This window comes from Homo sapiens, chromosome 1, assembly GCF_000001405.40.
Source record: "Homo sapiens chromosome 1, GRCh38.p14 Primary Assembly".
Taxonomy (NCBI): Eukaryota; Metazoa; Chordata; class Mammalia; order Primates; family Hominidae; genus Homo; species Homo sapiens.
The window spans coordinates 74,722,669-74,746,984 of NC_000001.11; the positions used below are offsets into that span (position 1 = coordinate 74,722,669).

The 24,316-nt window shown below is 41.7% G+C and overlaps 2 protein-coding genes across 11 annotated transcripts in view, besides 4 other annotated features; one reads left to right on the plus strand and one right to left on the minus strand.

Moving 5' to 3' along the window:
• The window catches only part of CRYZ (crystallin zeta), a 27,565-nt gene extending 17,183 nt beyond the window's left edge, over nucleotides 1-10,382 (minus strand). For 2 of the 7 annotated variants that reach the window (XM_017000367.3, NM_001130042.2), the window contains exons 1-4: nucleotides 10,288-10,382; nucleotides 7,714-7,752; nucleotides 2,043-2,166; nucleotides 450-602 (exon numbers count right to left, since the gene is read on the minus strand). In XM_017000367.3, the coding sequence (XP_016855856.1) occupies nucleotides 450-602; nucleotides 2,043-2,153 (264 nt within the window). In that variant the 5' untranslated portion in view covers nucleotides 2,154-2,166; nucleotides 7,714-7,752; nucleotides 10,288-10,382. Of the gene's footprint in view, nucleotides 1-449; nucleotides 603-2,042; nucleotides 2,167-7,713; nucleotides 7,753-10,098 lie in introns of all 7 variants that reach the window. The other 5 variants (NM_001130043.2, NM_001889.4, XM_047446751.1 and 2 more) reach the window with 3 other exon arrangements.
• Nucleotides 9,179-9,468: an enhancer, noted in NCBI's record as "active region_1199". NCBI's record gives its function as "activates an Ori minimal core promoter by ATAC-STARR-seq in GM12878 lymphoblastoid cells {active_cell/tissue: GM12878}" and the evidence as "EXISTENCE:reporter gene assay evidence [ECO:0000049][PMID:35858748]".
• Nucleotides 10,064-10,774: an enhancer, noted in NCBI's record as "H3K27ac hESC enhancer chr1:75198416-75199126 (GRCh37/hg19 assembly coordinates)". NCBI's record gives its function as "activates a minimal SCP1, AML or CMV promoter by ChIP-STARR-seq in primed H9 embryonic stem cells {active_cell/tissue: H9 hESC(primed)}" and the evidence as "EXISTENCE:reporter gene assay evidence [ECO:0000049][PMID:30033119]".
• Nucleotides 10,329-10,618: an enhancer, noted in NCBI's record as "active region_1200". NCBI's record gives its function as "activates an Ori minimal core promoter by ATAC-STARR-seq in GM12878 lymphoblastoid cells {active_cell/tissue: GM12878}" and the evidence as "EXISTENCE:reporter gene assay evidence [ECO:0000049][PMID:35858748]".
• Nucleotides 10,484-24,316, plus strand: part of TYW3 (tRNA-yW synthesizing protein 3 homolog) — a 33,526-nt gene continuing 19,693 nt past the window's right edge. For 2 of the 4 annotated variants that reach the window (NM_138467.3, XM_006710347.3), the window contains exons 1-3: nucleotides 10,484-10,750; nucleotides 13,874-13,954; nucleotides 16,022-16,120. In NM_138467.3, the coding sequence (NP_612476.1) occupies nucleotides 10,577-10,750; nucleotides 13,874-13,954; nucleotides 16,022-16,120 (354 nt within the window). In that variant the 5' untranslated portion in view covers nucleotides 10,484-10,576. Of the gene's footprint in view, nucleotides 10,864-13,873; nucleotides 13,955-16,021; nucleotides 16,121-24,316 lie in introns of all 4 variants that reach the window. The other 2 variants (NR_027962.2, NM_001162916.2) reach the window with 2 other exon arrangements.
• Nucleotides 10,999-11,098: an enhancer, noted in NCBI's record as "active region_1201". NCBI's record gives its function as "activates an Ori minimal core promoter by ATAC-STARR-seq in GM12878 lymphoblastoid cells {active_cell/tissue: GM12878}" and the evidence as "EXISTENCE:reporter gene assay evidence [ECO:0000049][PMID:35858748]".

Below are 24,316 nucleotides of genomic sequence, written 5' to 3' on the forward strand. Positions count from 1 at the left end.
AAACTGTATAGTGACCTTGCATTTTTTCATGTTTTACTTATTTTTCAAAAGAATTAACTTTCTCTTTATATTATGAAGCAAAATTTATAAGAGAAATTAAAAATTATGTTAGCTTATGTATCATCAAGAGTTAGGAAATAGTCTAACTTCCTTGTGTGTTTTCTTTCCTTACATATTTCTATTAAATAAAAAAAATCACAGTTCATTCTGTGGGGACATGAAGATACAGAAATTACCCAGCACCTATTCACTACAATGTAGTAAACAAATAAGGCCTCTGGATAAAATCTAATTTCTTAATTCCTTTTTTGACTAGAGGAGTCCCCCGAGTGGCAGAAATTGTGTAATGGGGCCTTTTAAAACCTTAAATAAGATGCAGTTGAAAGCTATGTTCAAATATTTTTATGAAATAAATTCAGCCAAAATAGAAATAATTAAAAATGCAATACCTTGAAAGCAGATGCATTATCTCCAACAGCTTCTATCACCCCAGCCACATCTGAGCCAGGAGTATAGGGTAAGAGTGGTTTTCTACTATAAGTACCAGAGCGAATGTATGTCTCCACGGGGTTGACACCACATGCATGGACCTTGATTAGAACCTGCAATGACAATGTATTTTAGTTCACAGAAAGAATTTAGGCATTCATTTAACTTTATGCTAGGACTGTGCTGATTATGGGAGCTATCAAAATGGGAGACAAAAGCAAAACAAATAAGTGCTTGCCTTCAACAAGCTCACATTCCAAGTTTTACAAGCTAACATAAATAAGTATGACAGAATGGCTTATGTACTGCATTAAAAACATTTTGGGGAAAATAGTGAAAGAAATATCTAAGGGGATATGTGGCAGAGACCTCTGCGTGTTCATCAAACCCGTTTTCTCCTTTTCCTGGGTACACAGAAAGAGTGGTACTTCTTCGCCTCCCTCATGGTTATGAGTAGCCAAGTAACTGAGTTCTAGCCAATGGAATGTTAGCAAAAGTGACAGTAGACACTTGCAGACCTGACCCATTAAAACTTCCCAGCCAAGCCACATCGTGCTTTTCTTCTTCCATGGAGACCCTGAAGACGGGTTGGGTGGCAGAGCCACATGAAAGAAGAAGCTGAGTCCCTAAGTCACTGTTGGAGAACAGCTACCCACCCACATTTGAGAACTTTTAAATTTAGTGTATAAGAAATAATTGTCCATGGCTGGACTATTGCAATTTTTAGGTTACAGCAATTGTGGGAGCTAATTTTACCTTAATTAACACAGAATGATTACCTCTGGTATAAAAGTAAGGGAAGGCTTTATAAAGGAAGTGGTATTTAGTTAGGGTTTAAAAGATAAGTAGAAATTCTTTAGGAATGAGAGAAAGGATAGGTTGGGTAAAAAAAAATAGCATGTGCAAAGACAGAGAAATGAAAGGAAGTATTAAGGAAATTGGACAAAAGCTGATGTTGTTACAGCACTGTATCTCTACATGGAGAGGAAGTGATGAGAAATAAATTTGTAAAGATAGGTTATATCCAAACTGTAAAGACTCTCATAGGCTTGCTAAGAAAATTAGACTTGGGAGCCATGGAGGGTGCAGTAATAAAAATACATAATTTAAAATCAAAAGTGTATTGTTAAAGTCACTGGAGATGATTAAACTATATACTTAAATTCTCATGAATCACACATGAAAAAGCATGAATGCAAAAGAAAATTGTTTTCCCAGCATGCAAAAAATAAAAATCATGAATGTTTGTAATAGAATAACTTATTCAAAACTCCTTATGTGTCCATTCAGAAAAATCCAATTATTGCACTACATAGATCATTCCCTACATCAAAAATTTTCTTATAACCAGAGGTTATTCTTTTTCATACATCTACTTCACTAATTATCAGGTTTATGTTAACTTTATCAATGTCCATATGTATACATAGTGTAAACTGCATCCTAATTCAATGTTTTTAAAAATAATTGTGAGTCTGCTTCTTTTTAATACAATGTGCAAGAGACTCACACTCAGTATAATTATAGCCTCAATAAAGTAATTTTATTTCTACCTGATGGTCTTTTGGAATCGGTACTGCAATATCTGATCGCAATTTCAGGACTTCTGGCCCACCAAATTCAAAAACTCTAACAGCTCTCATCAACTTCTGTCCAGTCGCCATGGTGATCTAGATACTAAGGAAGAAAAAAAATTAATGTATTGTCACATTGTATCTAGGATATCACCATGTTTTTCCCCCCTGGAGGGAGCAGATCAAACAATTTTTTCAAATAACAATTTAAATCATGAGCTTACCACTGATCTCATTTCATGTTTAAGGACCTTTCATCTTACAAATCCCTCAGCTATAAAGCAGAATCCTTCATGCTACTTCCTGCAGGGATTCAGTGCCTTCAACAAAGGAATCAAACATGCAAACAAAAACATCTGGATAGACATAGCATGATACCATATTTAGGTTTTCTTGCTTGAGTTGCAATACCTTAGAAATTTTATGAGTTGAGTTTTATTAACATTAGGTAAACTGACCTCCTTTTGTTAGATTATGAAACATTCCAAACATTTACCTGACACCCAGTGTATTGGTTCATTTTCATACTGCTATGAAGAAATACTGGTGACTGGATAATTTATAAAGGAAACAGGTTTAATGGACTTGCAGTTCCACATGGCTAGGGAGGTCTCACAATCATGGTGGAAGGCAAAGGAGAAGCAATGGCATGTCTTACATGGTGGCAAACAAGAGAGCTTGTGCAGGGGAATTCCCTTTTATAAAACCATCAGATATTGTGAGACTTATTCACTGTCACTAGAACAGCATGGGAACTCCCTTCCCCCATGACTCAATTACCTCCCACCAGGTCCCTCCCATGACACATGGGAATTATGGGAGCTACAATTCAAGATGAGATTTGGGTGGGGACATAGCCAAATCATATCATTCTACCCCAGGACCCTCACAAATCTCATGTCCTCACATTTCAAAACCAATCATGCCTTCCCAACAGTCTCCCAAAATCTTAACTCATTTCAGCATAAACTCAAAGGTTCACAGTCCAAAGTCTAATTGGAGACAAGGCAACTCTCTTCTGCCTATCAGCCTGTAAAATCAAAAGCAAGTTAGTTACTTCCTAGATACAAAGAAGGTACAGGAAATGGGTAAATACAGCCATTCCAAATGGGAGAAATTGGCCAAAACAAAGGGGCTACAGGTCCCATGCAAGTCCAAAATCCAGCGAGACAGTCAAATCTTAAAGCTCCAAAATGAACTCTTTTGACTCCATGTCTCACATCCAGGTCACTTTGATAAAAGAGGTGGGTTCCCATGGCCTTGGGCAGCTCTGCCCCTGTGGCTTTGCAGGGTAAGCCTCCCTGCTGGCTGTTTTCATGGGCTGGCATTGAGTGTCTGCAGCCTTTCCAGGCACACAGTGTAAGCTATCAGTGGATCTACCATTCTGGGGTCTGGAGGACAGTGGCCTTCTTCTCACAGCTCCACCAGGCAGTGTCCCAGTAGGGACTCTGCGTGGGGGCTCCCAGCCCACATTTCCCTTCTGCACTGCCCTAGCAGAGGTAGGTTCTCCATGAGGGCTCCATCCCTGCAGCATACCTCTGCCTGGACATTCAGGAATTTCCACACAACCTCTGAAATCTAGGTGGAAGTTCCCAAACCTCAATTCTTGACTCTTGTGCACTGGCAGGCCCAACACAACATGAATGCCTCAGAGGCTTGGGGCTTGCACCTCTGAAGAAATGGCCTGATCTGTATGTTGGCACCTTTAAGCTATGGCTGGGATGCAGAGCACCAAGTCCCTAGGCTGCACACGGCATGGAGGCCCTGGGCCCGGCCCAGGAAACCATTTTTTAACTCCTAGGCCTCTGGCCTGTGATGAGAGCGACTGCCGCAAAGGCCTCTGACATGCCCTGGAGACATTTTCCCCATTCCATTATCTTGATGATTAACATTTGGCTCCTCCTTACTTAGGCAAGTTTCTGCGGCTGGCTTGAATTTCTCCTCAGAAAATGGGTTTTTCTTTTCTATTGCATCTTCAGGCTGCAAATTTTCTGAAATTTTATGCTCTGCTTTCCTTTTAAACATAAGTTCCAATTCCAAACCATATCTTTGTGAATACATAAAACTAAATGATTTTAATAATGCGCAAGTCACCTCTTGAATGCTTTACTGCTTAGAAATTTCTTCAGCCAGATACCCTAAATCATCTTAGGTTCAATGCTCCACAGATGTCTAGGGCAGGGGCAAAATGCCACCAGTCTCTTTGCTAAAACACAACAAAAGTCACCTTTGCTCAGTTCCCAACAGGTTCCTCATTTCCATCTGAGACCACCTCAGCCTGGACTTTATTGTCCATATCACTATCAGCATTTTGGTCAAAGCCATTCAACAAGTCTCTAGGAAGTTCCAAACTTTCCCAAATCTTCCTGTCTTCTGAGCCCTCCAAACTGTTCCAATTGTTACCCAGTTTCAAAGTCGCTTCCACATTTGCAGGTATCTTTACAGCAGTACCCCACTCTAATGGTACCTATTTACCGTATTAGTTCATTTTCATATGGCTATGAAGAAACACCTGAGACTGGGTACAATTTATAAAGGAAAGAGGTTTAAGGGATCACAGTTTCACGTGGCTGGGGAGACCTCACAATTATGGCAAAGGAGAACAAAGGCACAACTTGCATGGTGGCAGACAAGAGAGCATGTGCAGAGGAACTCCACTTTATAAAGCCATCAGATCTCCGAGACCATCCTGGCTAACAGTGAAACCCCATCTCTACTAAAAAATACAAAAAAAAAAAAAAAAAAAAAAAATTAGCCGGGCATGGTGGCAGGCGCCTGTAGTCCCAGCTACTCAGGAGGCTGAGGCAGGAGAATGGCGTCAACCCGGCAGGTGGAGCTTCCAGTGAGCTGAGAGATGCCACTACACTCCAGCCACTGCACTGCAGCCTGGGCAACACAGCGAGACTCTGTCTCAAAAAAAAAAAAAAAAAAAAAAACCCAACAGATCTCATGAGACTTACTATCATGGGAATAGCATGCAAAAGACCTGACCCATGATTGAATTCCTCCCCCAGGTCCCTCCCATGACACGTGGGAATTATGGGAGCTACAATTGAAGATGAGATTTGGGTGGCGACAGAGCCAAATGATATTACCCAGCTTTAACAAATCTTAACATTTAAAAAACCTAAACCATTATAGATATAATTGAAGCCAAACCTGCTTCTGTCCCACCCTTTCAAGAGGTGACTATAACCATAAATTTAGTACTCATCATTCTCAAGCATTTAATACCACTTCTACATGAGTATGTAATATTAAACAATATGTGTTATTGTTTTGCATGTTTTCAAACTTTATTTACACAGTTTAGGGAATATAAAAATCTCAGAAACTTAGTGCTGAAAGGAAAAAGAAAATTCTGATTTGAAAAAGAATTCTACAATTCGCTATTTCCTTTCAGCATTAAGTTTTTGAGATTTATCAATGTCAAAACACTTGGCTTTATGTAGTTCATTCATTTTAACAAAAGGGGAAAAACATCAAAAAACTAAAAACAGTGCACCATATGCAATCTTTTATAAATTACAAGGTCACAGCTAACCTTTCTGTCCTATCACTGTTAATACCAAAGGAAATGAAAACTCAGAGTTCAAATAACCTAGAAAAAAGCAAAGAACATTTGTACAGAAAGTTATATAATCTTAGAAAAATTTTTGTACCTGTAAAGATGTAATGAAAGGTTTTGACTATATCCCCATAATTTTATCTGTGGGTTATAATTTCTTGAAATCAACCAAATAGTGTTAGATTCTGCCATCACCTAAAACATCTGCCTCAACCACAAGAAGCTTAAACATTAAGAAGAGCTGCAGAAACCAGGACCTGATATGAAAGAATTCAGACTTTTACTGTATCAAAACTCCACACAGGACTACTCAGAACAGAGCCCATACAGGCTATAAAATGTCATTCCACATTTCCACATACAGCAGCTGGGGCAAGGGGTGGAATCATAAGTATTTTGGTAGTGTTATTGATGGGAAGTTCTTGATATAATTAATCAAAAGTTTGTGCCATTTTAAAACCCTTAAAAGGATTTAACAATGTCTAGCACAAAGGAGAAAGTGACATTTCCAAAGGTTGTTTAGCAATGACATATCCTCAAGGGTGGTCCTCGGGGAAAAACAGAGGCAGAAGCAGGCCTACGGCATAAACACTGCACTTTAGAACAGCTTGGCAGTCTCTGACGGGGAGATGATCTGTCAGAGGGCAGGGCTGGGAAAAAAACAGTCCAGTCCTACTCAGCAATCTCACCACTCTACTTCCATTCAGGTCTTCACTCTAGCTCAGAATTCCTTAGACAAGAAAGTGAAAGTATCAAGAAAATAAAAAAGAAAAAGGTAGCCCAGATGAGAATTTTCCATGGTGGATATAAGAACATAGAGGTTGTTTTTGTTTTGTTTTTTTTTTTTTCAACATGACGTTACGGAAAGAGCAGGTTTTGGAATATGCAGCTCGAGGTGTGAGTCCCAGCTCTATCATGTGGGAGCCACATGGCCTTGGGCAAGGCAGTCAACCTCTTGATGCTGTTTCCTCATCTGAAATCTGGGATCCCACTCAGAGTTACGTGCTAGAGACGTGGCAAGCACCAAGCACAGAACTTAGCAAACACATGATCTTGTATATAGTAGACATCATTATTGTTTTCCCCTCTATTCTTCTTTTCAATTTCTGAATCATAAGGATTGCCTGAGCCTAGGAGATCAAGGCCAGCCTTGGCAACATGGCGAAATGCCATCTCTACAAAAAAAAAAAAAAAAATTATCTAGGTGTGGTGGCAAGCACCAGTGGTCCCAGCTACTCAGAAGGCTGAGGTGGGAGGATTGCTTGAGCCCAGGAGATCAGGATGCAGTGAGCCATGATCCTGCCACTGCACCACTCCAGCCTGGGTGACAGAGTGAGACCCTGTCTCAAAAAAAAAAAAAAAAGCAGCAGACTAGAGAAGTCATTAAAATGTTATGAAAAAAATATACTCTATAGTTCTATAATCATCTTTAATATAACGATATTTACAGAACTCTGGTTATCAAAACAAGCTCTTATTCTCAAAGAATTCGGTCTAGAAGATGACTTAAACAAAACATTAATACTAAATATTGGTTGTTATGCAATGCGTATTTTTCTGAACCTTAACTGTACATGAAGTGGTGTGTTAAACTCAGAGAACACAAAGAGCAAGAAGAAAATGCCCCACCCTGCCCCTAGCTTCTGTAAGCTGGGTGCTCTCTCTCTCTCTCTCACACCTACACACATAGCCTATGAGATGCTTGCTTTTTCCATTTTCGATATCTACCTACTTCCTACATATTTCTTTCACTCACATCTCATGATTACCATAAAAAAACTGTTGTAATAATAAAAGTAAAATTACTCTGAAATAGGATCTGTATCTTTCCCCCCCCACATTTTGGCATTGGCTAAGTTGGGAGAAAGGAATAAAGGAAGATGACTCATCCTACTGGATTTGGAAGACTCATCTGCTTTGCCCAGTACTATCTGACTACATTATCCTATCAGGCTTGAAAGTGATGGGGCATGGCCTGACCACACTATCTCCTACTTTGCTTCTGTTGATCTTATCTCCCACTGAGCCTTTAGCATTCTGATTCATCAGGCTCCAACCTGCACTCATTGCCTTTGAACTCACCTATCCACGGGATCATCATATGCTTCATAACGATGAAGCCTGTCAAAGGAGATTACACAAAGAATAAAATAACGTGGCATACTGATGGCAAATAGGATAATACTTAAAATCCTGTAATACCGGATTTCTTCTAAAAAGCATAAGTCTTCCACCTCCATTGACTTAACTGTTTTCAGAACAGGTAGAGAAGTTATTTAAACTATTATTTTATGCAGAAGTAAAAATAAAATCGCCATCCATTTTATGGATGAGAAAACATCACAAGAGGTTAAGAGACTTGGTCAGGGTCACACAGAAGCAAAGCTAGAACCCAAGTCCTGTAATTAAATGGTGTTAGCTGATTTTTTTCTTTACCATCCTTTTCATCTCACCCTTTGAGATGCTGGCATATAAGACCCTTTACTTCGTAGAAATAAACTTTACAATAGTGATAGTGAGACAGATTGAGCTAGAAAATGTGAAATCAAACTAACCTGCAGGTAGAATCGCATATTTTATGACTAAGGCATCTGCTTAGAGTTTGAAATTTCTCAAATGCCCACTAAGTCAGGGAATGCAGCAGAAATACAAAGGACATGATTCTATTTTTAAAAATGTATAAAAAAAAATTACTCCCTAGCATCGGATCCTTGTGAACAGGACAGGCCTTTCCATTGCTTGTGCTTTTTAATTAAACTATACTTCAAATAGGCCTTCCTGTTTATCAAATATAAACTTTTAAAAATTAAGAGTCCCTTGGTTTAATTTTTGGTTTAATTTTACCTCTGAAAGGTTGCCAATATGCCTTACAAATCTAGGAAATAGAAAATCTAAAATCCCTCTTCCAACAGTGATCTTTTTCCTGGCTATGCTTGTATCCATTTGATTTAAACGAAAATTAAAGGAATTGGGAAAATGTTAGGAGTATATTTTAACATAGGATGAACAGATCAAGTCACAAAGCCAGAGCAAAGGAACATTATGAGACAAGAGCAAAAGTAAAATTAAATAAGAATTCTGGCAAGAATTTTAAAAACTGAAAACTTAGAAAAAAAATCAATCATTACAAATTGTTCTGCTGCTAATACACAATGACTCATGTAAGCATATGGTTTATTATTAACCCAGAAATGTAAAAAAGGCAAGAATTACAAGTGGTCAGAGAAAGTCTCTTCCTGGCTGTGTGATCTTATCAGGTCACTTCTGTTCACTTGAGATAGGACGGGGTAAGAAGAGGGGAGGAGTTTAATAATTTCGGACTCCTCCAGGTTCCATGATCGTATGGAACAGGGCAGTCTGTTCCCTAATGCTGGAGGAGTAGAGCTTGGAGAGATTTGCTGCTGAACTCGCTGCGCTAACCAGACACGTAATCACAGTGGCTTCAGAGGGACTCGCACAACAATTTCCATTAGCTACGGACAAGCATTCCAAACTTTAGCCTTTAGGTTTAATCATTGACACACCTTCCCTGGTCACTGAGTCTCCTCTAGAAACTCAGTATAAACATCCAACGATGTGTTAACAGGGTGTTTTGTAATTTTCTTTTGAAGATTATTCTAGGTGGTGGGCGTCACAGGGTCAATAAAACTATACATTTCTCTCAAAGACTGCAATCCTGATGGCAAAGCTGGAGGAAGCTCCGGGAAACCTGTAATTGTGGGAATCCAAGACAAAAAATCCCCCACAGCTGGGCTGTGGGAAGGGGCCCTACCTAGGAGAAGAAATCAAATCCCCTACAGCTGGGCTGTGCGAAGGGGCACTACCTAGGAGAAGAAATCCCCTACAGCTGGGCTGTGGGAAGGAGCCCTACCTAGGAGAAATCCCCTACAGCTGACAGGTGGGCTGTGGGAAGGGGCCCTACCTAGGAGAAGAAATCAAATCCCCTACAGCTGGGCTGTGCGAAGGGGCACTACCTAGGAGAAGAAATCCCCCACAGCTGGGCTGTGGGAAGGAGCCCTACCTAGGAGAAATCCCCTACAGCTGACAGGTGGGCTGTGGGAAGGGGCCCTACCTAGGAGAAGAAATCAAATCCCTACAGCTGGGCTGTGCGAAGGGGCCCTACCTAGGAGAAGAAATCCCCTACAGCTGGGCTGTGGGAAGGGGCCCTACCTAGGACAAATCCTCTACAGCTGAGAGCTGGGCTGTGGGAAGGGGCCCTGGACAGACCGCTGGGCGCTGCTGCAGGAATCCCCAAACCCAGGCACTGGCTGCAGGGAAAAATCAAGCGGGTGACTGGCGGGGGGGGGGGGGGGGGGTGCAGCGTGGGGCTGGGGGACAGGGAGTGCGGGGGGCGGAGGCTGGGCAGGGGTAGTGCCAACGGACACCTCATGGTGTGGTAGCCTAAACTCAGAGCCTAAACGCAGGACCAGGGCTAGGAGCCCAGGACCAGAAGGCAAAACTTCCTACCTGATTTATGGATGGGAACTTGCAGCCCCTGGAGGGGAATGGCTTCGGTCTGGAGCTCTACGCACTAGTTCTCTGGGAGGACAGAGGGCAGGAAAGGGGTGCAGCCAAAATCAAACTCGGTTCCACTTGGACGAGCAGTGGGGAGATTCGCTGTCTAAACAACTAAGGAGAGTTTTTAAAACCACTTACCAGAATCTAGAGTGGGAATTAAAATCTGCGTGGGCTTCTTCAGATTCCACAGAAATGAGGACTGCCACACCTTCTCCAACTTTTGCAGGCTCCACCCAGGATGTGCGCCTCGCTCCACCCAGGATGTGCGCCTCTCTCCACCCCTAGGCGAAGGCACTAGAATTTCCCAAATTAAGAACGAAGAGGAAGTTTGGACCTTTTCGGCCACCGCTCGCTTCAATATGGCTGCCCCCAGGGAGAGACGAGGCTACCATGAAGGAGCCGAGCGCAGACCCTGAGTCCGTCACCCATGGATCGCAGCGCGGAGTTCAGGAAATGGAAGGCGCAATGTTTGAGCAAAGCGGACCTCAGCCGGAAGGGCAGTGTTGACGAGGATGTGGTAGAGCTTGTGCAGTTTCTGAACATGCGAGATCAGTTTTTCACCACCAGCTCCTGCGCTGGCCGCATCCTACTCCTTGACCGGGTGAGGCCCCTTTGCGCCTGTCCATCGCCTGCCTTCTAGTGCGAAACTTCAGGAGCCCTGTTCCCATCCAGTGACGACCGGATCCAGCATGTCTGTGTTTGCTCCTCTGAGGGGTGGTCTCTGTTTCTTTATATGTGAAATTTAGGGGATTAGATCAGTGCTTCTAAAAGTTTAACGTGGCTATTAATCAGCTGAGCATCTTTTAAAATACAGATCCCGATTCTTTAAGTGTAGGGTAGGGCCTGATACTGTGCATTTCTAACAAGTGCCCAAATGATGTTGAAACTGCTGACCTGGGAACTATCTTGTGTGGCAAAGTTTAGAAAATTTGATTTTATTATATGAATACTAAGGGAATCTAAAGACTTTGTAGCTTGCTAAGGTATTGAATGCCGGAATCCGCTCATCAACAGCTCTGGCAAATCATTGTTACTGCATGCTTGAACATCACCAGTGTTAAGGAGTTTACTGCCTCCTAGTGAGCCCCTCCATTATTACAACTCTAGTAGTTTTACGCAGAGAAAAGTACGATCGTATATAATTTAGGATGGTTAGACTTTTTTTTTTAACTTTATGATGGGTTTACAGGGGTAGTAAATGCATTTTGACTTACATTTTCCACTTATGACGGATTTATTGGGATGTAACCCCATCATAAATCAAGAAGCAGCTGTACAAGCCATACCTCCTTATTTGCAGGTTCAGTTACCCCAGTCAACAGCAGTCTGAAAATATTAAATGAAAATTCCAGAAATAAACAATTAGTAAGTTTTAAATTGCATGCTGTTCTGAGTAGCGTGATAAAATCTTGAGCCAACCAGCTCCTTCCAGAATGGAAGGTGAATCATCCCTTTGTCCAGAATATTCCACTATATATTCTTGCTGCCCTTTAGCTGCTTGGTAGCCTTCTGGGTTATCAGATCGACTGTGGTGGTATCACAGTGCTTGTGTTCAAGTAACTCTTATTTTACTTAATAATGGCCCCAAAGTACGGGAGTAATGATGCTGGCGATTTGGATCTGCCAACAGTAAGTTTTAAAGTGCTTTTTTGAAGTGAAAAGGTGAAAGTTCTTAAGGAAAGACTTAAGGAAAGAAAAAACAGCATATGCTGAGGTTGCTAAGATCTACGGAAAGAATGAATCTTGTCAGTGAAATTGTGAAGTGAAGAAGGAAAAAGAAATTGATCTGAGGTTTCAGGCATCCACTAGGGGGTCTTGGGACATATCCCCTGAGGATAAGGCTGCTTGGGAGTGATACTGCTTAGATTAAAAACCACGGGCTATGTGACCTTAGGAAAGCTATCTCAACTCTGCCCCTTCCTGTTCTATGAACTGAGGATAATAAAAAGTATCTGCTTTATAGGGATTTTGTGTGGAGAAAATAGGATAATTTTTTTTGAAATATTTGGCTTTGTGCCTGGCCCATGCACTGTAAAAGTTGGCTGTGTACTGATTTTATTCGTAGTATTGGCTTAAGAGCATGGAAGACAGCACATTGTTAGGCTCATTCTTTAGGTCCATTATTGACTGATCATTTATTTGCTGATCTCTCAAGTTAGCAGGGCCTGTTCATTTTTAAATCACTTCCATCACCTTCAGAGCAATGGCATTCTTGCCCACAAACTCTCTCTTGCCCCATTTCCATAACTCTGTCTCGCCTTGATTTTTGCAATGGTTCTCTAACAAGCCACTTAACTATTCTTCTCCAAACCATGTTTGACAAATTGCAACTCTGCTTATCTCTCACCTATGCTATGTTTTATTACACATTTTTCTACATCAGAAAATCCAAATGCTTACTCTAGTATACCTTTCAACCTTTTTTTCATTGCTTTTCTTCATCTTTAGCTAGTTACTGAAACTAAACTGTTCTTTTCATCTTGTATTTACTTGCTTTTGCTCATGTTTTTTGGCGGTTTTTTTCCTGAAATGTTTTCCTATCTCTGCATATCTGAGACATGATTCCCAAAACTCCCCTCTCCCACCTGAACCCACAAACACATACTACCTACTTGGAAGTAATGACTGCTTCTGTACTGGTTAGACTTTTATTTCTTATCTTACACCTCGTATTATGGTTTATTTTAAAATCTGCCTTATTTCAGTAAGGATTTGGGGCAACTTACAAACAGGCAACACAAGAAAAAATAAAAAGTGGGAAAATCTGGATAAAGAAAATATAGATAAGATGAAGCCAGCGATGGCATTAGTTGCCAATCCCACCACTAGATCCTGTAAAGTTGCTAGAAGTGGGCCATACATTTGGCTCTAAGATTCAGAGTAGCCAGCACAATGTCAGATACGTAAGTCACCATCACCGAAGTCATACAATGAAGTCAAAATATTTATTTAGGACATGCATAGCAATTCCCGGTTCCAAGGGCAGACAGCAGAGTCTCTTGTGGATCCATCGTATAAATTATAGTTACTTTGAGTATAGTGATTTCTGTTCATGTGGTTTCCTGCATCCCCTTTCCAGTGTCCTTGAGGGGTAGGTTCTGTGTATACCCAAAGTACCTAATAGAACTTTGCAAATAAACATTTGTTCAATTTAAGTTAATATTAAAATGTTTGCCTTCATGAAACTTTGACCTTTCAGTCTTAGCTCCATCCTTCAGGACTACATCTAAAGTCTAATTCAGAGGTCACAAATTTATGCCTCTAGAGACCAAGGAAGTATTATAAATGTGTAAACGGCATAGGTGACAATAAAGGGTAGTAGGTCTTGTGTGGAATTGGGACAGTGCTGTCCTACAAAAGAAATTAAAATTATTTTTTTTTCATTTTTAAATACTGTGCTAGCCAAATAGCTAGAGTACAACTCAGGTGCTGCTAGTATTATCCCTTATACTAATCCCTTTTTTTCTTGCAAAATCATGACCATATTTCAGAAGATGTTTATCAAGTAGTTTTACCTTTCACATAATTTTCTACCTCAAGTTATTTGGGCTCATTCTTATTCTGGGTTAACATTACCCAAAAACATACCGAATTGTTTTTATTAATACTTAAAATCCTGACTTGGGATTATTAATTTAAGAAAGCCTACAATATACTATGCATTATGCTTATTATTTTTGTAAAATATTATATGAAACTTAAATTATGTTATTTTTTATTTTAGGGTATAAATGGTTTTGAGGTTCAGAAACAAAACTGTTGCTGGCTACTGGTTACACACAAACTTTGTGTAAAAGATGATGTGGTAAGTTTTAAAAAATAAATTTGGAAATAAACTTTTAAATTCAGTTACTTTAAATACATATGACAAGAATAGAAAATTCAAGGTAATTTATATGCAGAGTTATAATGGCTGAAGATTATAAAACCTAGAGAGCTTTCATTACAATGGCTCTTTTTGGGTTGTAGGAGATAAAAAGTATGGAAGCATTACTTACTGCTACTCAACAAAACACATCCTCTTGGACACAGCAGAAAGTTCATGGATATTGGACACCTATTGGATCCAAATTTTGAATTTTAATTCTGCTATTTGAAAACCCTGTAACCTAGAACAAATTATGGAAAGAGAAGGGGATTAGCACTATCTCTGTGTTACCAGCTTTACTGATATAAATAAATAATACATTACTTACCTGCATTGCTTTTTGAAAATCTTCATATCTCTGCTGGGTTATTTAGTTTCCTAAGGTAAAGAGTTTAGATGAATTCATAAGTTTTTATCAGCCAGGCACTTTTCATTCCCAGTGAATTTACAAATCCAATTCTGTTTTTAGCAAAAAAGATAATTTATTTAACTGGAAAGGGCGAATGGAGCTAGAATCAAGTATTGCTGGTTCAGATGTTCAAATCTTGTCTTCAGAGTACCCACTTCATCTTCATCTTTAGGCACTGGTTCTCTTTGCAGTGTGCCTTTATTCTCTTCTGCTGCAGATAATCTTTGTTGCAGAAATGGTAGCTGTCAGCAACACCAGTAGAAAAAGAACTCCTTTTCCTGCAATTCATGTGTCCATCTTAGAGAAGGACTTGGAATTGTCCTGCTTAGATTAGGTGCTCTCCCTCTTAGGTTAATTATTTTTGCTAGTGGAATGTGATGATATCCTTGATCAGACATAAGCAAGCACTTGGCACCTCTGATATTGTGATAGGGAGAGTGATGTGTGACAGGGTAATGATTGACAGCCCCACCAGAAATCAAATGGTGTGAAGGCAGGACGATGTTGCCCGGGGATGCTGGGCAGACAGAAATAATAACTGTCTTGTATAAATTCTAGCTCAGACACAATATTACATGTTTCACTAGGTGGTCAGACTACGCCGCAGGATACACTGTAACATGGGTGCAGCCAAGGTTAAAAGGCAGGCAAGTGCTACCTAGGGAAGAGACTAGTACCTGACTCAAGGTCACTAACAAAAAACACGCATACTAGGCTCAAGTGTTGTAACATTTGCTTATAGCAGGAGGGAAGAGACTACACAAGATCTAGCCCTTTGCAATGTGTCAGTCCCCATGGCTAGCAGATTGGTTCCACAGCTGATCAGGGCAGAGTGATGGCATGTACCCCACTTTGTGCTGCAGTAGCTCCCAGACCCTGAACACTGCCCCATAGGGTCTGAAATACAGAAAGCTAGGAACGTGCTCAGGGGCCATTGGTTCTCATGTAGCTGAGCAGTTCCAAGGTTCCTCTCCCAAAGTTAGGAGATAGCAAAAACAAACAAGTGAACAGGGAAAAAAAAACAAACAAAAAAACTGCAAGTTGCAATTGTTACAACAACTGTGCCTGTTACAGAGGGAACAGGAACTCACTGGCTGTGCTCTGAGCTCTTTGCATGCACTGCTATTTGTGAGCTTACTAGTGCTGCTGGTAAGCACTGGTGCTTGGTACAGGATGCTTCTTGGGAACATGGGTGGCAGTTAGGCTTTGTTTGGACCCTTCTCTCACATTACATTTGTCTCTATCTCAATCTAACAAAAAATTTAAACAATCCTAATACAGTTTTTGTATACTACATTTCCTAATGAAAAATCCGTTATGGAATTAAATAAAGTAGTAGTTTACTTCTTCAAAGCACACTAATAGGTGGAAAGAATGGTATAGAAGATTTACGGGAGAACTAGAAATTTTAAGAAAATAAGCAAATAAATTTTTGGTGAAAAAGGACCAAGAAAGCAGAGGGAAAAGTTACTGCAGAAAAAATATGCTGAGTGATTCTGAAAATTTCTAAGAGAAATTGAAGTTATGTATGGGGTAAAGGGTCGCCAAAGGACAGGCCATATACTTGCATCTGATACCACTGTTCATTTATTTAGATTGTAGCTCTGAAGAAAGCAAATGGTGATGCCACTTTGAAATTTGAACCATTTGTTCTTCATGTGCAGTGTCGACAATTGCAGGATGCACAGATTCTGGTAAAATTTTGTTGTAATTGTACTTGAATTTATAGATATGTGGGTAGATGTAATTTTAAGCTTTTAACCTGCTATAAATATCAATGAGATATTACCTTATTCAACTAGTTATGTATATATTATTTATTGGTCTGCTCAATCTATTAATTTTTAATATTAGAAAAAAAGAGTAGCTAATCATTGCTAGGAAAATATAAGTCCCAGGTTATGCTTCCTGTTTTCTTTCTTAACGTTTTTATTTATAAATTTTACTTCAGCATTCTATAGTTTGTTTTTGTTTGCCAAGCTTTAAGAAAAAATACTGTGGAACTACATGTAAAATTAAGAGTTTTAAAGAATATTTCATTTTTCCCATTTAAATGAGCATGCATGAGGTAAACATCTGTTTAGTCTTGATTCTCCTTTTTATACCTTTTATATATTTATATATAAAACTGAATTGCATTTTAAGCAACAATAATGTATTGAGTCTCAGTGTGTCAAGTACTAGGGGCACAGTGATGAACAAGATTAAAGACTGTCTTGGTTCCTCTTCCAAAGTTAGGAGACAGCAAAAACAAACAAGTGAACTGGCAAAAAAACAAAAAACAAACTGCAAGTTGCAAAATGTTCTACCGAAGGAAAAAACAACCTGGTAATAGAGAACAGTGCAAAAAGCAGCTCACTTGAAGATAGGCTTCTCTGAAAAGCTTTCTTTAAGCTAAGACTTAAAGGAACAGAAAGAGCTAGGCATGTAGCTGGGAAATGAACATTCCATGAAGATGGAAAAGTATATACAAAGTTTCAGTGGGTCTAGAGAGTGGAAAGAAGGTGCCAGAAGGAGGCTGGGGCCAGGTCATTTAAGGCTTTGTAGACCAGATTAAAGAGTTTGAATTTCTTTCTGAGTTCAGGGAAAAGTTATTGAAGGGACAGTTTTAAGCAAAGAGTGGCTTTCTAGGTTTTTGTTCTGAAAAACTCAGTTCTGCTTCAGCATAGAGAAAGGAGTGCAGTAAGTGAAAAGATACGAGTTAGGAGTAGTTTGTGGTGATAGGTTGGTGTAAGGTGATAGCACCAAAGCAGGTGAGAAAGGAATAGATTCAATATGTATTTCAGCATTTGAATCAACAGAATTGTAAGGTTGTCTGGGGAAGGACAGCCAGAGGGAGGAGGAGAAAGAGGAATCAAGGATAACTACTTAGGTCTGGCTGGAGCCCCTAGCTGTATGGTAGTCGCCTTTATCCAGATGGGGTGTGCTGAAGTTGAAGTGTGTCCAGAATTGGTTCCTTCCAGTGGGTTATTGGTCTCGCTGACTTCAAGAATGAAGCCGTGGACCCTCGCAGTGAGTGTGACAGTTCTTAAAGATGGTATGTCCGGAGTTTGTTCCTTCAGATGTTCAGATGTGTCCGGAGTTTCTTCCTTCCAGTGGGTTCGTGGTCTTGCTGACTTCAGGAGTGAAGCTGCAGACCTTCGCAGTGAGTGTTACAGCTCTTAAAGGTGGCATGTCCAGAGTTGTTTGTTCCTCCCAGTGGGTTCGTGGTCTTGCTGATTTCAGAAATGAAGCCGCAGACTTCCACAGTGAGTGTTAACAGCTCATAATGGTAATGCAGACCCAAAGACTGAGCAGCAGCAAGATTTATTAAGAGTGAAAGAATAAAGCTTCTGCAGCTTGGAAGGGGACTCAAGTGGGTTGCTGCTGCTGGCTCGGGTGGACAGTTTTTATTCCCTTATTTGGCCCCACCCACATCCTGCTGATTGGTCGCTTTTACAGACAGCTGATTGGTCCATTTTACAGAGTGCAGATTGGTGCATTTACAATCCTTTAGCTAGACATAGAGCGCTGATTGGTGCGTTTTTACAGAGTGCTGATTGGTGCGTTTACAATCCTTTAGCTAGACACAGAGCGCTGATTGGTGCATTTTTACAGAGTGCTGATTGGTGCGTTTACAATCCTTTAGCTAGACACAGAGCGCTGATTGGTGCATTTTTACAGAGTGCTGATTGGTGCATTTACAGTCCTTTAGCTACACACAGAGCGCTAATTGGTGCGTTTTTACAGAGTGCTGATTGGTGCATTTGCAGTCCTCTAGCTAGACAGAAAAGTTCTCCAAGTCCCCACTTGACCCAGAAAGTCCAGCTGGCTTCATCTCTCAATCCACCCTCTAAACAGGACACCTCAACTGCTGCTGGGAATTTGGCGATGACGGCTCTAGCTACTTCCTGCTGGATAGGGGTGAAGAAGGGGCCCTGCAGTTGTAGTGTCCTCCAGAGGGGAACTCTTTAGACCAGTGAAAGGGCCAGTGGGTCCGTCCAGGGGTCCTCGGTAGAAGTTGTTAGTTGAGCTCGTTTGGCTACAGTATATAGTCCTATCACAAAGAGTATGGTTAGTATGCTGCTAGAAAATATGATGAAATAGTAAAAGGATTCCATTAAAGGGGTAAAGAGAGGTGTTAAAGATTATGTAGGTTTTCACTTATATTTTTTAAGGAGGAATGGGTTTTTCCTCAGGATCAGAGGTAAGAGCCTTTTTAGTCTGGGATGTTTCCTTCCAAAATAGGAGATGCAAGTCCTCCAATGGTTCGCAGGTGTATCGAGGCTGGTCTGGCTGATCTTGGGACTCCTGAGCTGATGGTCCCGCAGGTTCCTCCGGGGGTGTCCAAAATTTAACTGGGGTGTGGTGAATCCAAGATTCCACTCCTGCCATCTTAACTGCAGTGGGGGTAGAGAGGATTACCGAGTATGGTCCTTCCCACAAAGAATCTATAGATGGGGAGGTAGAGGGGAGAGATTTGACTAACACTGGATCTCCTGGTTGAAACAACTCTGTTCCCTTTTCTCTGTGACATCCTTCAGGTAGGTTTTTAAGGTTTCGTTGATATTTTGCCAAAGAAGTTATATTTTTGACCAAGTTGGCCATTTCCTGATCAAGTAGGAGTTCATTTGTGAGAAAAGTTCTTCCATACAGCATTTCATAGGGACTGAGCCCCATTTTGTGAGGACAATTTTGGATTCTCAACAAGGCCATGGGCAAAAGAGTAGGCCATGGGAGATGAGTTTCTTGTGTTAGTTTTCTTAAGTGCCTCTTGAGTGTTTCATTTGCCTTCTCGACCTTCCCTCAGGATTGTGGCCTCCAGGCACAGTGAAGGTGATATTGTATCCCTAGCTCCCTGGAAATGTCCCTGAGTTATCATGGCTTTAAAAGCCAGATCATTGTTGCTCTGTAAGCTTTGGGGAAGCCCAAATCTAGGAATTATTTCATAAATTAGGACTTTAATCACTGCCTGAGCCTTCTCTGTCTTGCAGGGGAAAGCTTCTATCCAATTTGTAAAGGTATCAACACAGACCGACAAGTATTGAAATCCCTTTGACTTAGGCATATGGGTGAAGTCTAATTGCCAGTCCTCTCTGGGATAGTGACCTACTCTTTGTTCCCCAAAAGAGGCCTTAGGATGAACTAAGGGATTATTCCTTTGGCACACCCCTCACAGGCTTTGACTACCTGTCGGATGGCCTGGAGGAGATTTGGCCCTGTAAATAGGGATTTGGCCATTTGATGCGTGTTTTCAATACCCATGTGAACAGTTTCGTGGAGGGTTTTAAGTATTTTCCACTGGCTGGCTTTGGGTATAAGTACCTTTCCTTCTTCTGTCGTTAACCACGCCGAGGGGAGAAAACTATGCCCCCGTGAAAGTCCCCACTCTGTTTCGGTTGGGGAATACTGGAGCTTAACCTCTTGGAGGGGGTTGTTCCATACCAAGGGTCCTTCCGTAGGTATTTCTAATGGGATGTTCTGCCTGGCAGCAATTTTAGCCTCAGCATCTGCCCAACGGTTTCCTTCTGCCTTTTCTCCTTCACCTTTCCGATGGCTTTGGCAATGTAAGACTGCCACCTCCTTGGGTTTTTACACTGTGTGTAGTAACTCCATAATTTCCTTGTGGTATTTAACGGGAGTTCCCCCAGAGGTTAGGAACTCCCTTTCTTTCCATATTGCAGCATGGGCATGTAGGATTAGATAAGCATACTTACTATCTGTAACAAAGTCTCCCAATCACAACTGAGGAGGTAGGAGAAATACCTGGTTACAGGCTGTCCCAGGATTCCTTGGATGGTAACGGACCTTGAGGACAACTCCCTGAGACAGGAGATTAACACTGAGAAAGCCACACCAGTGTCCAGGAGGAAGTCAATTTCCTGGCCCTCAATGGTTAAACATGCCCAGGGCTCAGTGAGGGTGATGACATGAGCTGGCACTTGCCCCCGGCACCCTGAGTCCTGTTGTTGGGTCAGCTGGTTGGGGGCTTCTGGCTCAGAGAACGTTTGTTCTCTGGGGCAGTGCACCTTCCAGTGATTGCCCTGGCATAGCAGACATGGACAAGCGGGCAGCTTGTTTCTCGTTGGACAATCTTTTTTAAGGTGTCCTTGCAAACCACACTGGTAACAAGCCCCACCGGGTGATTGGCCTGCTCCATTTTATGTCCTCTCTGAACCATCAAGGTTTGTTTGTCTGATGGCCATGACTAAGTCTGCAGCCTTTCTCGGATCTCGCTTTTCCTTTTGGGCCTGTTCCTCTTGGTCTCTATTATAGAACACCAACGTTGCCAGGTTTAATAATGCCTCCAGATTTTTTCAGGGCCCAGGGCTTGCTTTTGGAGCTTTCTTCTGATACCTGCAGCTGATTAGATAATAAACTCATCTTTAAGGATCAGTTGACCCTCGAGTGAGTCGGGTGACAGGGGAGTATATTTTCTTAAGGCCTCCCATAGCCGCTCGAGGAAGGCAAAATGATTTTCTTCCTTTCCCTGAGTTATGGTGGACATCGTTGAGTAATTCATGGGCTTTTTCCTAATTCTCCTTAGTCCTTCTAGAACACATGTCAACAGATGTTTATGACTCCAGTCCCCATGATCTGAGTCGAGGTCCCAGTGGGGAGCCATACTGGGGATGGCTTGCTGACTGGTGGGGAATTTGTCCCTTTCTTCGGCTGTCATTCTATCATTTACTTGACTGAGATATCAGGTATCTCCAAACTCTCGGGCTGCAGCTAAAGCCACATTCTTTTCATTAAAGGCCAGGGTTTGATCTAACAGTAGCATGACATCTCTCCAAGAGAGATCACAGGTTTGCCCTGGAGCCTGTAGGACATCTGTATACCTATCAGGATCATCTGAAAACTTCCCCAGATGTACCTTGATCTGCTTTAAATCAGAGAGGGAGAAGGAGACATGTACCCAAGTTGGGCCAAATTCCCCTCCCGCTACAGCTTGAAGGGGACATAACTGATAGCCCAGGCGTTTTTGTGGTCCTTTGGAGATTTCTTTGCTTGTTTCCTTCTGGGAGGGGGAGATTAGAGGAGGCTTATCATTAATAGGAAGGGGAGCTATAGGGATGCTAGGATGTGGGGGTAAGCTGAGAGGTCCTCTTGTAGGATGTAAATTGCAAGTTTGCATAGTTGTGTATTCTCCTTCAATGAAAAGAAAGCTTGGACATAAGATATTTCACTCCATTTACCTTCCCTGTTACAGAAAAGATCAAGCTGCAGGATAGTATTGTAATTTATACTGCCCTCAGGTGGCCATTTTTCCCCATCAGAGAGAGAATATTGGGGCCAAGCTGTGATGCAGAAAAAAAAAAATGAGCCGCCTCTTTTTCACGGTTTGCGGGTCAAATTGGTCCCAATGGCTTAGGATGCATTTCAAGGGTGAACCTGTTGATGCGTGAGTGTTTGGCTGACAGGTGTCTGGTATTTAGCCCCCAAATTCTAAGGAAAAATAGGACAGAATAGCAAGCGAAAGCGGTCCAATGGTACTCACCACTTGGCAATAGGCGATTGTCCCATCTGGGTCGCCAAAATGTGTCCCATCTGGGTCGCCAAATGTGTCCCATCTGGGTTGCCAAAATGTGTCTAGAATTGGTTCCTTCCGATGGGTTCTTGGTCTCACTGACTTCAAGAATGAAGTTGCAGACACTCATGGTGAGTGTTACAGTTCTTAAAGATGGTGTGTCCGGAGTTTGTTCCTGCAGATGTTCAGATGTGTCTGGAGTTTCTTCCTTCTTGTGGGTTCATGGTCTTGCTGACTTCCGGAGTGAAGCCACAGACCTTCGCAGTGAGTGTTACAGCTCTTAAAGGTGGTGTGTCCAGAGTTGTTTGTTCATCCCGGTGGGTTCATGGTCTCGCTGACTTCAGGAGTGAAACTGCAGACATTCACAGTGAGTGTTACAGCTCTTAAAGGTGGCGCGTCCAGAGTTGTTTGTTCCTCCTGGTGGGTTCGTGGTCTCACTGACTTTAGGAGTGAAGCCACAGGCCTTCGCAGTGTGTTACAGCTCTTAAAGGTGGCCCATCTGGAGTTGTTTGTTCCTCCCGGTGGGCGAGTGGTCTCACTGACTAAAGGAATGAAGCCTCAGACCTCCGCAGTGAGTGTTACAGCTCATAAGGGTAGTGTGGGCCCAAAGAGTGAGCAGCAGCAAGATTTATTGTGAAGAGCAAAAGAACAAAGCTTCCACAGCTTGGAAGGGGACCTGAGCAGGTTGCCACTGCTGGCTCGAGTGGCCAGCTTTTATTCCCTTATTTGGCCCCACCCACATCCTGCTGATTGGTCCATTTTACAGAGAGCTGATTGGTCCATTTTACAGAGTGCTGATTGGCCCATTTTACAGAGTGCTGATTGGTGCATCTACAATCCTTTAGCTAGACACAGAGCACTGATTGGTGCGTTTTTACAGAGTGCTGATTGGTGCGTTTACAATCCTTTAGCTAGACACAGAGCGCTGATTGGTGCGTTATTACAGAGTGCTGATTGGTGCATTTACAATCCTCTAGCTAGGCAGAAAAGTTCTCCAAATCCCCACTCGACCCAGGAAGTCCAGCTGGCCTCACCTCTCAGAAGGAATGGAAATCAAGAATGTGATTCATATGTTAAGTGTGAAATGTCTGTTAAGACACCTGTTTTTGTCTGCTAGCGTTGACATAACAATATAACACAGACTGGGTAGTATAAACAACAGAAATTTATTTTTCTCACAGTTAGGAGGCTGAAAGTCCAGGATGAAGGTACTGGCAGGGGTAGTTCCTTCTGAGGCCCTTGTCCTTGGCTTGCAGGCAGCTGCCTTCTCCCTGTGTCCTCTCATGGCCCTTTCTCTGTGTATGCATGTCACTTGTTTCTTCTACTTCTTGTAAGGACACCAGTCCTGTTGGATCAGGGCTCCATCCTTATGATTTCATTTAACCTAATTAACACCTTAAAGGCCTCATCTCCAAATATAGTCACATTGGAGGTTAGGGCATCAACATATGAATTTTGAAGCCCTGTAGACACAATTCAGTCCGTAAAAACACCACCTAAGTGAAAATTTCAAATAGACATTTGGGTAGAAGTCTGGAACTCAGGGGAGCCATGTGGACTGAGGACAGACATTGAGAAGATGCCAATACACAATTATTATTTTAAGCCATGAGCCTAGTTGAAATCACCTGTGGAGAAAGTACAGAAGAAAAAGAGAAGAGGGCTTGAGGAACACGAGCATTTAGAGACAGTCTCCAAAACATGGTGTTTAATCATTTAGTGGCTCATGGCTTCAGTCTCTGCTCTAACCCTGAACTTTTATCTAACCTTATTTTAGTCTCATTATACCACATCACATCACTGATGTGTCTCCAGACTTTAACTCTCCTGTTTCTATATCCATGTTCTGTTCTCTGTGCTAATCCTGACTGAGCCCAGCCATGCTCTTCTTTGGGCCTAAGCCTCATTGGAAAGCTAACATTTCAGGGAGCTAATTGAAGTGGACTTAGAGGAACTGAGAAATTCACTCATTCACAGCCCCTTTTTGAGGGGGGTCCTTACCTAAGGAGCTTATATTTGTATTCTAGGGGACAGAGGCAGACAATAAGTATGTAATAAAACAGAATTTCTCACTGTGAGATGTGCTGTGAAGGAGATAAGAAGGGCACTCCACTAGAGAGTCAGGGGAGAGCTGCATTTAAAGAGGTGGTTAAAGAAGGCCTTTATTCGAAGGTTGCAGTGAGCCGAGATTGCACCATTGCACTCCAGCCTGGGTGACAAGAGTGGAACTCCATCTCAAAAAAGAAGAGGACCTTTTTAGGTAGTAGCATTGAATGGAAACAGGATGAATGACAAGAAACCAGCCAGGAAAAGAGTAGTCCTGACAGAGGAACAGCAAAAATAAAGAAGTTGATGCAGGAAAGGGTTTGGAGTATTCAAA